Here is a 15,320-nt window from a genome sequence, read left to right as displayed (position 1 = left end):
TCCTTCCAGATTAACTCTTCTAAGCATATACGCACTTTTGGCACATTTCTTCATTCTGTTTTTTCTGAAACAGATATTGTCGAATGATGAACTATACAGGAAAACATTAAGGGGTGAAGATTGGGTAAAAAATGGGTTAATACTGTGAAGGTCTGAGTGTAAATGTGTGTTAAGTTTAAGAAAAAAATGAATTGAAATTAGGAAGGAAAAGGATTTTCTAAAAGGACCGTGAAATAATTAATTGTTTTGTAGGAGATGGCCTTTCCATGTAGGCAGAAAATTTTTTCTTCACTTCTTTCTGAAGAGACAGTCAAATAGAGAATCTCATCTCTTAATTAGAAAGAAAAATACTCATCAAACACATCTCATCACTGGAGAGCTAATGATCCACAGCTGTTAGTCTGAAAGGGCAGGCTTTTTTCCTGAACAGTAGGAAGTGTTAATCATTTTGGATGAGATTTCTTTTTAAAATATACTGTAGTTTGCAAAAGAATAGGATATTCAATATTCCAACTTAAATGATTTTTTTTGAAGTGGGCTCCCCCAGGGATACTGTCATGTGTCGCACTGAATGATCATTGAATGCAGGCATCTTCCACTGCACTTCAATGAGAGCATCAATTGATGGGATGATGTGAATGGCCCAGTCCTGCCTGAGACTCATAAAACCCCAGGCTCAAAGAAATCAAAATCATGCATGTCTTGCACCTCCTAAGAAATGGTGTTGCTATAAAAATCTTAAAATTTGGAATTGCTCACTCTACTTTGTATAGTATGCCTTGTTTCATATGACTGAAAAGCCTTGCCCCACCTTCACTTAACTTCTCAGCAGAACAGATTTTTGTTTGTTTGTTTAATCTTTATTTGAAAAAGTAGGACTTTTTTTTTCTGTAAAAATGTAATTGGCTCATTCAGTTTCCAATCTTTGCCTTTACAGCCACCTTGCTAACCTCTTCTAAACATTTTGGACAGAAGAAAACCCCACTTAATAGAAATCTTATGAATAGCCAAGTTTTGATTATTCAGAGTCGTGTAAGATGGTGGGAAAAAAGGAAGAATAAAATTGGCTCCACAAACCTCATTTCCGCTGTTAGTTTTTGACCTCTTTGCCATACCAAACCTCTACCAGAACACCTAAGAAGTGGCATTCCATTTCTTTGTACTGACGCAAGAGTAGTTATCCTAGAGGAAGGGGGAAGAGAAGAAAAAGATATGGAAAATCTACAATTGGATAATCAGTACCTAAATAATTGATACCTTTAAAACATCAACATTCAATCTAAGACCATTTACTGTAGAGTCAGTGGAGCTTCGTGGGAACAGCATACTAGATTAGGAAGGAGAAGACTTGGCTCTGCCACTCAGACTTGCTTCAGACAAGTCTCAAACTCCTAAGCCTCAGTTTCCTCCTTTGTAAAAGGAAGGTAATAGTCCCTGCCCTCCCAGTCTGCCTCTCAGGACTTTTTCCTTAAAGTTCTCTCTGTGCAATATGATATGATATAAGATACTTGTTAGGAGAAATAGTGTTACATATATTTTTTGAGACAGGGTCTTGCTCTGTTGCCCAAGCTGGAGTGCAGTGGTGCAATCACGGCTCACTACAGCCTCAACCTCCTGGGCTCAAGAGTTCCTCCTGCCTCAACCTCCTGAGTAGCTGGGATCATAGGCATATGCCACCGGGCCCAGCTACATTTTTTTGTTTTTAGTAGAGACGAGGTCTCGCTAGGTTACCTAGGCTGGTCTTGAACTCCTGGCCTCAAGCAATCCTCCTGCATCAGCCTCCCAAAGTATTGGGATTACAGGCATGAGCCACAGTGCCCGGCCTATTTACCTTGTGGTAAATTAAAACTTTTCAAAAAAAAACCCTCATTCTGAATATTTATGGTTAAAATTTAGAATGTTTTTAAAGCCTGACCCAAATGGATACTTCAAAATTGCATATTGTAATGTTGCCACTAATATCATAGGCAAGATAATACTGATTTAGATAAAAGATTTTTGAATTTAAAAATGAACAAAGACTATGAACAAGAATTAGAATTCATGAAACTGCTAATTCCGAACAAGCTTTTTTTCATATATAGGGGCATAATAAGATTGTTAAAAAATTGTTAACATTTTAATACTGAATTGTTTTAACTTGAGTTCACAGAATCTTTAATGTTTCGGCCATTTACTAGTAATAATGAATTTTTGTAAAGATCTAGATTTTTTTTGTTTCAATTATTAGTAAAGCTTTTAACTGGAACCCTTCTGTTTAACTCTTAGGATTTCCCACCAAAAACTTCTCCATTCCTCACCAAATACAGTTCACCCTAAAGAACACCACTCGTCTTCTACAACTGCTCAAAGAGCAATGATCATATTGACTTATTAAGTTTATAAAGTCTGTGTAATTTTCTTAAAATTAATTTATAATTTGAAAAGCATAGGCCTGGTGTGGTGGCTCACGCCTGTAATCCCAGCACTTTGGGAGGCCGAGGCGGGCAGATCACGAGGTCAGGAGATCGAGACCATCCTGACTAACACAGTGAAACCCCATCTCTACTAAAAATACAAAAAATTAGCCGGGCGTGGTGGCGGGCGCCTGTAGTCCCAGCTACTCGGGAGGCTGAGGCAAGAGAATGGCATGAACCTGGGAGGCAGAGCTTGCAGTGAGCCGACATCGCGCCACTGCACCCCAACCTGGGCAACAGCAAGACTCCATCTCAAAAAAAAGAAAAGAAAAGAAAAGAAAAGCATTACATTAATAATATAGTACTTTGTGATGAAGCATCTTCACATGTATCACTTGCTTTTCCATAGCCAACTTGTGAAATGGGCTGGTGTAACCATCTCCATTTTATAGGTAAGAGACTAAAGGAAAAGAGAATAATTGACTTGCACAGGGTCCTATGATGATCAAATAGCAGAAATTGAACTGAAATCACTTCTTTGGGCTTCTAGTCGAAACTGTATTTTACCCTACCACATTGTCTCCTTGGAGAGAGAATAATATGTATTAGTGAGCTTTTGCTGTATAACAAACCACTCCACAATTAGTAGCTTAAAGCAACTATCATTTATTTAGTGATGATTTTGTTAGCAGTTTGGACTAGGCCTAGCTCTGGGCTCACTCTTGCATCTTTGGTTGGCTTCTTGGTCTGTCAGGTGGCTTTGCTTTGGATGCTGTCTGGCTTTCAACTGGGGTGATGGAGGCAGCTATGCCCCATGTTTTTTTAAGCCTCTGTTTTCATCATATTTGCTACTCTATCCTTGACCAAAATAAGTTATGTGCCTAATCTCAGTCATTGTGGGAGGCTATTATAAAAGTCATGGATACAGGGAGACATGGAAAAATCGGGGTCATCACTGTACTCAGTCACCACAAATTAAATATGAAAAACTGAAAGTGGCACTCATTTCATCATCTCTTTCTATTTAGTTGGCATGGCTTCTTTAGCATAGCTCTTATACTTGAAACAATCATTAGCTATGGATTCTAAGGTAGTATACAAAAAGTGATAAGCTGCTAGAAGGGCCAAAAAAAATTATATGTAGTGTAAGCCAATCAATTCCTGCTTGTCAGAACACCTAATGCTTGTTGAGCATCTTATAGATGTCAAGCATCGGCTTAATTGCTTCTCAAATCTGCCAAGTAAATAGTATCATTTTCACTTTTCAGACGACAAAACTAAGAGAAATCTAGTAACTTGCCCAAGGTCCCAAAGCTGGTGACTAGAGAGCTTGGATGCCTCTAGGCCTGATTCAAACACCGTTCTCTTTCTACTGTACCACACTGCAGCAGCTTCTTGAGGGATCCCACAGTCATGGCTAACGGCCCAAAGCCAGTTGATAGAGAGCTTCTAACATGCAGGATAATGAGTAAAACTCTCAATGTTCTTTTTCTAATGAAAGGGGTTGTGTGTACTTATTACCATTTGACTAATGCCCCCTGAAGATTTTCTGGTATTGAATTCTAATTGTAAATTACAACAGCCATATAATGATTAAAAAAGAAAGCCACCAAATTCTTGGAATAGTTCTAGTCTCTAATGAACATGGATAACTAACATAGGGGTAGATGTTTTGTTTGGAATTGGGCATGTATTCCATGAGAGTAAAATGTAGACAGCCTGTTTCCTTATTAAAAGGAGAGATGGGGGAGACGTGAAGAGATTATGTGACAGAGAGAGAGGAAAAAATACAGAAAGGGTGCTATAGTGAAGGAGGTGAAGGAATTTAACACTCTGTAGACATTTGTGAGTGTCCTTATCACCGCACTGTAACATCAAAAAATTCTAAAATCTGCAGGTCCTCTTTCCATGACCCACAGAGGCAAAAAGCAATTCCAGAAATGCAGATCTGGACAAATGCTAGACATTTTATGGTTTATTTTTGTATTCTGTGAATACATTAGAGATTTTTAAAATTGTTTCTTGATTTCTTTTTCCATCCCATTTTAATGCATTATTGTATCTCTCGTTTCCCCCAATACCTCTGAAAATGTATAATCAGGACCAAGGACAGATCCTTCATTGTCTTGGCCCTCCTTGGGTTTCTTCCAGCTGCCTTATTTCTCTTACTACCCTAGTAGGACACTAAAGGCCAGACCTTTTGTGTTATCTCAGTTTTTTATAGGAAAGAGGAGAAGACTGATCTCTTTCCAAAGAGAGAGGAGAGAAGAGGCTTTAGTGTGGAGTGAATGAGCTAAAAAGCTCCTTTCTTCCTTCGAGAGCTCTCTTTATTAGAGGAGCCTCACCAGCTAACAGGAATTAGAATTATCACTAATATTATATTGAATAAATGATTGGCTGTTCTACTTTCAAACATCTAATATTTCATAACATATATGTTCAATAAATACATTTTTATTGTTAATCTGTGTTCATGTTCTTTAACCTTTTGAAATCTTCATTTAGGTGCTGAAAAAGAAAAATAAATGCTTTTGTATTTACAACTTATTCAAAGCTCTCATGTTTTAAAAATATATATTTTTTCAATAGTAGGAGCTCCTCACTCAATTACCCAAATATTAGATTCTTAAAACCACAATAGAAAAGGAGATGGTTTTTCTATTGCCAGAATTCCTAAAATGAATGTAATTTCTTTCTGTGTCTCTGTCTTCTGTGTCTTTCTCCAATCCATGTTCTGGTGCCCATGTTATTAGGACATATAAAAATACCTTAGGCATTTATGAGAAGTGTGTGTCAGTTCTGAGTGCTATATTTTAAGAAAGTTATTGATGTATTGATTTGGATATGGTAAGAGGAAGATGACTACAATGGGGAAGTGCCTAGAAACCATAATCTGTAACTGATGCTTGAAGCAAGTGGTGATGTCAAATCTAGAGAAGAAGAATGCATGAAAGATGTCTTGATTGCTTGCAGGATTGTCACCTAGGTAGTTTTTTCTGTGGATGACAGGCCTGCAGCTAACACCAATCCATGGACATTACAAGGAAATTCATTCTGAATAAGACGAGGACCCTAACACCAATGAATGGACATTACAAGGGAAAACATATCTGCTTAATAGGTTAAAAAGATTACAATTGGTCATATTTAGCAATGGGATAATCTGAGTCCCATCCATGACGCCAGAACACACTAAGTCAAATGAATGCCCTCAGAAAAGGAACATAAAGGAAGGTCCAAGAGAAAAGACCATAATATCCAAAATAGTTCATGACTGCATAGCCAAATGGAAAGAAAATCTTGTCTAGAAGAAGTACTAAGGTAGACTTTTTTGTCAGAGGGAGAAATTTGTTAGTAGTATCCCAGATTGTAACTCTGAATGCATTTTCTTGAAGTCACTTGGTTTTATATAGTAGATCTATAGAACTTTTGCTAATACAAATAATTAAATAGAATTCTGTAGAATGATTGGGGAACCCAGTGTCCATTTATCCATTAATTCAGTAAATATTTACTTATTGAGCACTTGCTATGCCCCAAGTACTGTTCCAGGCTCTACGGATAAAACAGTGAATGAAAACAAAAAGTCTACCTTTAAAGGAGCTTATATTCTAGTGACTGCCTAAATGCTACAAATAAATATATAAAGAATATGGACTTTAGCCAAAAATGATTTTCCCTTTTACATGTATTGATGTCTGTCACATTTACCTTAATTCACTTCCTAAAAAAATAATTATCTTTATAAAATATATTTTAATAATCATAACCATCAATTATTTATATCATCTTTGTATAATTGTATAAATTTCAAAAATTAAATGAAAATATTTTTCTTTTTCTGGAAATCTTCCTACTTTTCTCATAAAATAAAAGATATGGCTCATGTTTCATGTATTACAATATTTGGAACTTTTCTTATGCAGGAACTTGAATCTATAGTTACTATGTAATTCTGTCCAAAATCATTTCTTGGCTTATTTAACTATTATTTATGCTTTTTGGTGCCCACTTGGTTATGAATATAAAAGAATTCGGTAAAATATACAATTTTCAAAATTTAATGTCACATTGAAAAAACGGATGGTACAGTAATGTCATGAAGTCATTTTAAATATTAGAGAAATATTAAAGATGATTAGATTTATAGACCTCTGTCAAGATATGAGAACACTAAGGCAGAGGGACTTTCTAAAACTCAGAACCTTGGTCTCCTGGCCCTGAGGCCAGGAGTCTCTCTACCATTTCATACTGTTTAATTTTCTCTGCCATTTAAATAGGCTGTAGGCTTCACTGAGATTTATTAAGAAGACTGCAAATGTCCCATGCTGCTGTGCCTGAGACGGGTGTCCTTAGGGCACTGCCCCTAACTCTCCTGACCTATCAAATGCAAGATGTTTGTGTTATTCCAACCAGCTGGCTGAAACTCCCAGTTACGCTATGGTTCAGCTAAATCTTAGCAGGCAGAGGGCTTTCTAGCTTCCAGTATTATAATCTGTATTACTTGAGGACCTTAATCAATAATTAGTTGACTTTCTGTGTTTTGTAATGTATTAATAACATTTACACAATAATGGTTTGGGTTTTGGTTTTTGCGAAATTACTGCACACCAAGCATTGTGTTTAATTCTCACAACCCTGAGGTGGATAATCCTATCGTCCCCATTTTACTGGGGAAGAAACGAAAGAGGGGATATATACGTTGCTTGAAAGTTATATGGCTAGTTAGCATTAGAGTCAGGAGTGGAATCTAGTTGTTAAATGCCTCCTGACTTAACATTACCTTAATTTGACAGCAAAAGCCATAGACCCAGAGAATTTAAATGATCTGTCCAGGATTACAAGGCTGGTGTCGGGTGGGGGTGAGTCATACTTTATATCCAACTTTGTGTTGTTTTATAATGTAAGTGTTCTTAGAATGACTCCATCTACCACCCTGAGTTCTTAATCTAACATTTGTCTTACAATGAAAAAGTTTATATACTTGGAGAAGTAGGTATGTTAAAAAAGAACAATACAAATAGGCATTTTAAAATTTGTTTTGACAAAATTTGCTTGTAATAGCTCTTTGATTTCTATGGTAATGCTGAATATTAAGCCAACCATTTTGTACACTTGTCCGTAGCAGTGCTTTTTTTCATATTGTGAAATCTTTGGGGCTGTCTTGTGTAGACCTGGTATTTTCATCTGCCTATTAAGCTTGTTACATTGTATTATCCAAGCGAGATTTTTTAAAAGTCCCTGATATTAAATAGTGATTCATTTTTTATCATTAAGGCAGATAAACCAGGGTATTTCTGACAGTGTAGCGGAGTTCATTTTGCTGCTTTTTAAAAATTTTGTTCAACTTAACAATAATTTCACTGGAGGAGAAAAACTCAAATTTCGTCTTTGACAACGTAATGATATCAACTTTTCCTTCATAGAAATTAAACAGATTGAAAATCTTACCAGTGACTTTTCACGGGTCAGTTATATTTTTAGAAAAATGTCTAAAAGTTTCCAAGGCTTTGTTTTCAAGATAAATCTTCCTGTTCTGAAGCATTTGGTTTTGTGTTTTTGAAGTAGAGTATAAATAAGAGTCCATTTAATGAAATTCAGTGTTGACTCATCCCTTCTTCTCTCTTCTATCTCCTCCAGCTCTTTCTCTTTGTTGTCTGGAACTTTGAGCTCTACATGATACCACTGGTTTTGTTGTTACTATTGACATGGAACTACTTCTTGATAATATCAGGGAAAGATAACAGGCAACGTGATACAGTAAGTCTCTACTCTCTTACTTGTATGTGTTTTTGTTCTTATTCTGAGTCCCTCTGACAAGATCAACATTGAATTTGGCTTTACAAACCAGGAATTCTGTCTATAAATACTCAAGTTTAGAGGAAAGTTTTATCAGGTCAAAACTAACAACTCTTTGGTCCTAACACAATAGAGAGTATTCACTTATTTCTAACATTACTCCTCCTGGTAGAAACTAAAACAGGGAGCAACATCAAAGAATGAGCTATGATTTTCAATCATAAATGGGTGCTACTTCAAATAATTGCTTTATTCTTCTTATTTGTTATATCTTAATGAATCCTGATTTAAGATACAATGTCACAAAATTACTAATGATCAAACTAAGTGAATGTATTTTACTTAAGACAGATAGATTCTTTGTGCTCGGTCATTGGAAGAATGAAGGATTGATGGTTGTTGACCTGGAAATGTATATAAAGTACCTTAGTTCAATGAAGGTTCGCTGGACAACAGTAAATATCCTTCTCTGTGTCAGGGGTGTATTGAGATATCAGCTTAAGGATGAGGAGCTTTCATTTAACCTAGGGAAAGTTATACTAAATCTACCTGTCCTCTGGCATTTTTGAAAGCAGATTGTATGAGACAACCTTCTCTTTCTGGAAGAGTTTTAGACTAAGAAGCAGGAGCTGCCCACACTATAATCACATATGTTCTGCCAAGCTTTGTTCCCCTTGGATTGTCTATCACTATGACCCTAGCAAGCAACTTCAAAAAGCTTTCCCACATGTAAATAAATGAGGGGAGTGTCCTCTCCAAATATGACATTTGCAATTTGGTAACTCAATAGACAGCTGTTGAGAAGAATTTAAAGGTTGGCAAACATGAGAATCTACTTGTCCTCAGCAGATTACTATGTTTTTTTTTTTTTTACCATCAAGGATCTCTATTTGATTTATGATCTGTAGATTATAATAGATCACAAATCGATTTTTTGCCTACTACTGTGCCCATAATTATGCAGAATTATTTGATCATCAGCTTAAAAGTAGAATATAATACTTAATAGTAACCATCATAATGGTTGCATACATACCTTCAATGTAAAAGAACTTCCCGTTCATTAAAATACAAGCAAAATACACTTCAAATAGCCATGTAAGCAAAATATAAAATTCTTCAAAATAATTTCCTTTAGTATGTGACAAAGTTGCCAACAATGCACCATATTTCTCTATTATATTTCTGTCTCTCTTACTAGATTATAAATGTGAGGGAAGGAACTCTGTTCATCTTTGTATTTGCCACCATCTGTAGTACCTGCTTTGGAAATTAGACATGTTCAAAACCTTCTTTGTAATGTATATCAAACCAAACATGAGATTGCTAATAGAGATTTTAATGGTTAGGCAGCACCAATAGACAAGACGTTATTAGTATTATTGGCAAGGATTTTATGGATATATATTTAAATTGCACACTAAGAGACAAGCCCTAAATGCTATAAGCGTTGGTGTCATGGGGACTAATAGGTACTTTCATCAATTAATTCAGGATGTTTTCTGGAAGAAAATAGGACTCTTTCAGACAATTGCTTTTTTGTCCCATTTACTTCATGGCGATTTTAGAGAGAGAAGAATATCTACTTTTCATTCAGTTGCCTTGAGACAAATTTGCAAATAAGATTATTTGCAAATAGGAAAAACTGGTAATTTAGTTTTACCTTCTTAATTCTATGAGGGGGGGCTTATCTTCAATATTTAGTCACTGGTTTTGGTATTCTTAGTGAAAAATTCTGAAACTGTAGACTTTGCTTGTTATCTTCTCCAGAATATACCTGGCTTGGTTGGAAACATCCGCTTTTGGAAGAAAAATAATATATAATGTATCCTTTTGTACTTAAAATTATCCAAGACATTTTATAGCCTATTGAAAAATTGCATATCATATAATTTTTGCAAAATATAGCTTCAAAATAGTATTTACCAAATCTTTTCCTTTTAGTACATCTCCTCTAACACGCTCCTCTTTTAGCCATGGACATTTTTCTTCCCCAGCACAACCCACTGTGAAACATTCTATAGTCTAACTCTCATGGAATGCCAACTACACTCCATAACTCCCAGTAATTGCCTTTTATTTGCCCAAAACACACAGATCCACATATTCTGTTCTTTCTAGGCACCAGAGCAGCAATCACAACGTTTCATTCAGCTTCTTATTCACTGGCTCAGTTAAGACCTTACGTAACTCTTAAATCCAATTTGTCTAATTATGTGTTTGCTGGCATATCCAGCTGTGCATTTGAACCGGTTGCTCCTTTTGAAAAGAAACCTGGATTATACTTTGCTGGTTACAGAATACATATATATATAATATATATAATATATATTACATATATAATATATATTATATATATTATATATATTATATATATGTGTGTGTGTGTGTGTATGTGGATACACACACACACACACATATATACGAATTTAGGGAAAGTGTTTGTAGGGGTTGCCATGCTGCGATGCATTGACTCTCCTGCATAGCGCATAGCACTGGAAGTATGGTATTTTCCCGTAAGTCCATATTGATATCCCAGAGACACCACAGAATCTTTCAGCATGTGTGAAAACTTTACAGGATCTCCGAGGTGCATTAATCACACCATTGGCTGATTCCAAACCAGGAAACTTTCTGTTTTAGGAAAGAGAGACAGAGAAAGAGAAAGAATTTTCTGCCACCAAAAATCAAACCAAAACAAAACAAAAATCTGTACATTCAGCTGCCAAAAATTTAATTAGGGTGAAAACTATAAACGAAAAATCAAAATGACCTTCAGGTCTGTATAGCAAAGAAAGAAAAGGAAACAAAATTTCCGTGACATACGAAGTTGAAGAAGAAAAGAAAAGAAACACTGTGAAAGATGAAAAATGCATAGATGGGTAAAATTCTGTCTTCAATGTATTGGCTAATAGTTGAGATTAATACCAAACAGGAAAGTGTTTCTTTGTGTGTTTATTGTTTAAGGAGTCTTTCCTTTCTTGGAGACCTTTAAGATTACAGGCATTGAACCCCTATACCTTTTTCCCCACCATGGTGCCTATTCTAGTTTAATGAGCAAAATCAGATGTAATCCTTGCTGAATAAGTTTTGCAGCATTTAATGAGCTGAACCTGTTAAGGACAGAATAAGTAAAGAGCCATTCCTGAGGTTAAAACTGTAGACTCAGAGGGTGCCCATGCGAAAGAGGCGTGGTTAAAAATGGTATTTCACCTCTGCTGTTTCCTAGTTGGACTTGTTAAAAATAAGCAATCTTAGGTCTGAATATACCTAGACTGGGACCATGACATTAAAATTTCTAGCATTAGAGTTGTTAGGCTTTTCCAGAGAAAACCATTTAAGACATGCTTCATTCAGAAATGTCCCTGGCGTGAAAGGGATATAAAGATAGGAATGTCATCCTTCTGTTGGTTTGAGCTGTCACTTCAAAACCTGGGAAAAATTCTCACCGGCATTGCCTATTAGGCTTGTACCAACTATCCAAATTACAGTTACTGTAGAGAGACATTTTGAAAGTGGAAGAGTAGATGCCAGGAAATGGCTTTTACTTTGATTTAAAAACTACTGAACCATCATTACACCGTGGGCTCTGTGTGAAGTACTTTATATTCACCATGTCATTTAGTCCTCCTCCAAGAGAGAGAAACTGATTGTGTTAGCCCAGTCAATGGGTTGGATCCTCCTAAGTCGAGTGACCTGCCGCCATCCCCACCCCACCCCCGCCCAGGTCCCTTCATCAGTTGTAAGCAAAGGAATATGCTCATGTAGACAAGCATGGCTGCAAGAGCTCTTCCTTGAGAAAAGAGAATCAAGTCTCAGAGAATGAAGGAAATAGGTTAGCCAAGCAAACCAGGGGTCTATTGCACACCCTGTAAGTATCATTTCTACTGCACATAGAGGGAAACAGGGCCAGAAAGATTAAATAACTTACCCAAAAACACACAGAAAGTGTCAGAGCCAGTATTAGAACACAGAGCAGTCTGTCTGAAGTTTATACTCCGAACCACCAGTCAATCACATTTCCTCTTGGGGATATATCCCACCTCTCCCTGGGCACTGTTACAGCAAGTTTCTCCCACGAATTACAGAAAAGCCAGTAGCACTAACTCTACCTTCAAGCTGACACATTAATAGAAAGTATTAATTTTCCCACACCACTCACCCCATGTCTTCTATATCTCTCATTCAGGGAAACAAAAATGATATTTATCAAGCAATTTCTATGTATCAGGCATCCTGCTAAGCCTTTTAGAGACATCACCTCCTTTTATTCTTTACAATAATTATATAAAGTAAATAATTCTAAATAGTTTTTTCCCCATTTTACAAGTAAGAAAATTCAGTATCAAGGAGGATAAGTAAGCAACTCCCCAGAGCAAGTGTGATGTGAACCCAATTGTGCCCTGTTGTAAAGTCCCAGGCTGTATCTATGCTACATGCATGGGCATTCCTTTCCCAAAGGACTGCTTTCTTAGTGTCCAGGGCCTTGCATAGAATCCTGGGTGTCTCCAAATTCCTTCCTGTAAGGTAACCAGTAACCTTGCATGAATTGGTGCTGGTCATCTGTTCTATCCCAGGTGCCCCTGTTAATTTCAGAAGCATTCGTGACCAGGAGGGCTACCTTCCATTCACCAAGGTGAGCATGGGAAGAGTCCATCAAAGCTGACTTCTTCATATTCGTGAATAATTTTTTTGTGAATAAATTCAAAAATTTCTTTGACACAAAAAAATTCTTCAATGTTTTTTAAGTACACTTTAAAAGAACATTCATTTTTACTGTCATGATATTCCTCCCACACAACAATCTCAGTTATCTAATCAATGGTGGCATTAAAAGACTGAAGAGTGGGGCAGATCAATGAAATCATTCTCTGACTCATGATATGACTGTGACACAAATTGAGACAGAGTCTGCCTTGCTAAAATACTTTAGGAAATACTGAAGTGTTTAGTTAGCTCCTTCTCATGACAAAGCATTTGTTTCTTCATTTCCCTTTTAGAATAGTACTGAATATTGTCTCCCATTAGGTCTGTTCCAGTGAGAACCAGAGCACTTATCTCTACAAATAAAGCTCCTAAGAGCAGCACTCTGTGCCATAAGTGCTGTTGATTGAACAGTTTGGGATGGTCCACCAAAGAAACATCTGATTGACTTGAACTCCTATAAATCAAGCACATTTATTATTTTGTCAGCCAGTGTTCTCCATTCCAAAGAAGTCTGTGGTGGAATATGTGGAATACTGAATAAGTCAAGTATTCCTAACAGGATCTAAAGAGGCTGGCCAAAGCCAAGCTGACAGAGGAGAGGACGTCATATGCAAAGCACTCTGAACATACAGTTAGACTCTCTCTACTTCAGTAAGAGTTTTATCATTCACTGAAAGCAGCATAGACCACAAGTTTCCTGTGTTTGCATCTCAGTACCAAAAAAGACCACATATTCAGTGCTCTTAGCAGAAGCAACACTGAGTCATACAGCCTGTAAACACATCTAAAAATGGATGATCACTCTTTTCTTCTTCGTGCTTATTTCAACAGCAGTTTTCTCAGTTTTTTTCAAAAGGTCATCAGCTTGAAAAAATCTGAGGAGGACCATGAAAAGAACCAGACCTTTAGTTTTCCAACACGATCACTAGGATAAATAAGTAGAATCAACAGCCAATCAGATGTTGGTAGAAAGCTTATCCCTTGTGACCCCTCTCAAAGCTGTTCACCAACTGTTTAGCCTTGTTAGATAATCACTTGCTGTACATAGTGCATCCCAACATGTTAATAACCATCGTCATCAGGCTTTGGATTTGCACCAACAAGATTTCTACATTTTCTTCACTCATCCCAAGTCCCCCCACCACTGTCCCCTCCCTCTCAGTAGATGACCAGGCCTTCCACTTTGCAAATTTCCCTCAAATTCCAGCCCTGAGCCCTATGAATTACCCAAGTTAGGGTTGCCAGATTGAGCAAATGAAAACACAGATGCCCAATTCAATGGAAATTTCAGATAACAACAGGACATACTTACACTTATATGTTTTTATAATATTCTTAATTTGTCTGAAATTCCAGTTTAAGTGGATGTTCTATATTCATCTGGTAACTCTATCCCAGTTGTACCTTTATTCTTACCTCCAGACCTGTAGGAAGGTGACAGTTCTGAAATAAAGGTATTCCCCAACATCTTCAAGCATAGAAGACCCATAAGGAGCAGGCCCCACTTAAACCATAGTTTCAGCTTCATCCCTCCAATATTCCAACAGGATTGTTTATGTGTATGTTGTTGTTGTTGTTGTTTTGCTTTTGTTTGTTTTGGAGTATGCAGTGTTTATTGAGCAAAAGGTGGGAGTAGTGGGCTAAGGGTGAGGAAACAGAAATGAACCAGACCATGGCCATACTCTTTTGTTATCACTTTCTTCTGGACAGCAATTGCTCGCCACTTGGGAGAGCAGGAAACCAAGCCACTTGCAAAAGCTAGCACAGCACAGCTGGATGGGAAGCACAGCTGGCTCACAGGCCTGTGTTCCCTGCTTTAACTCCTATTCACCCAGTCCACAGGCTCAGGGAAGGCAACCCCTTTTGTCTTCATGACACAACTGGAAAAGAGGAAAAAGGAGTGATGCTTCTGCCTTTGGACAGATGGAGAAACTCAGGCCCAGAATAAGGCAGTAATATCCGCAAAGCCAGTACTCACAGAGCGTGTGTGGGAATGGCACAGCATGGGATAGATGTGGTGGCCTGGAGAAGGGCAGTGCAGGCAGGGTCTGGAACTTGGCAGAGGCCTGGAAGTCACGTGAGCACTGAGGACAGATGTGCAGCGTGGTGGAAGAGCTTGAAATCCTTGCCCAAGGTGCCGCACATGAAGAGTTTGAGGTCTGAGTGTGATGCATGGTGTCTATGCAGCTGCAGGGGGCTGGCAAAGACACAGGTGCACTGTGGGTGGCTGTAGCCCCTGCAAGGCTGTACTCTTATGGGGTGCATCATCCTGGGATGGTCTTCGGGGCTCCTCCACTGGCACAGCAGACTTGTAGGCAAGCCGGTTGGCGTCGATGAGGAAGTGGCTGTCCAGCCATGAGGGCTATGACCCACCTGAGAAAGGTGCTGGAAGAGGGGCCTTTCACCCTGGGAAAAGAA

The 15,320-nt window shown here is 37.6% G+C and overlaps 1 protein-coding gene across 53 annotated transcripts in view, besides 2 other annotated features; it reads left to right on the top strand.

Moving 5' to 3' along the window:
• MCTP1 (multiple C2 and transmembrane domain containing 1) overlaps positions 1 to 15,320 on the top strand; it is a 581,405-nt gene that overhangs the window by 477,926 nt on the left and 88,159 nt on the right. For 31 of the 53 annotated variants that reach the window (NM_001393537.1, XM_017009858.3, XM_017009855.3 and 28 more), the window contains one exon: positions 8,037 to 8,156. The exons of 21 other annotated variants lie outside the window; for them this stretch is intronic. In NM_001393537.1, coding sequence (NP_001380466.1) covers positions 8,037 to 8,156 — 120 coding nt within the window. Of the gene's footprint in view, positions 1 to 2,268; positions 2,335 to 8,036; positions 8,157 to 15,320 lie in introns of those variants that run through there. One more of the 53 variants, XM_047417722.1, reaches the window with a different exon arrangement.
• Positions 12,730 to 13,929: an enhancer, noted in NCBI's record as "BRD4-independent group 4 enhancer chr5:94128945-94130144 (GRCh37/hg19 assembly coordinates)". NCBI's record gives its function as "activates an origin of replication core promoter dependent on BRD2, P300/CBP, MED14 and CDK7 cofactors, and independent of BRD4, by STARR-seq in HCT116 cells {active_cell/tissue: HCT116}" and the evidence as "EXISTENCE:reporter gene assay evidence [ECO:0000049][PMID:35650434]".
• Positions 13,239 to 13,458: an enhancer, noted in NCBI's record as "active region_22794". NCBI's record gives its function as "activates an Ori minimal core promoter by ATAC-STARR-seq in GM12878 lymphoblastoid cells {active_cell/tissue: GM12878}" and the evidence as "EXISTENCE:reporter gene assay evidence [ECO:0000049][PMID:35858748]".

Source organism: Homo sapiens, chromosome 5, assembly GCF_000001405.40.
Source record: "Homo sapiens chromosome 5, GRCh38.p14 Primary Assembly".
Taxonomy (NCBI): Eukaryota; Metazoa; Chordata; class Mammalia; order Primates; family Hominidae; genus Homo; species Homo sapiens.
The sequence above is the reverse complement of the archived record's forward strand: the minus strand, read 5'-3'. Positions and strand labels throughout refer to the sequence as shown.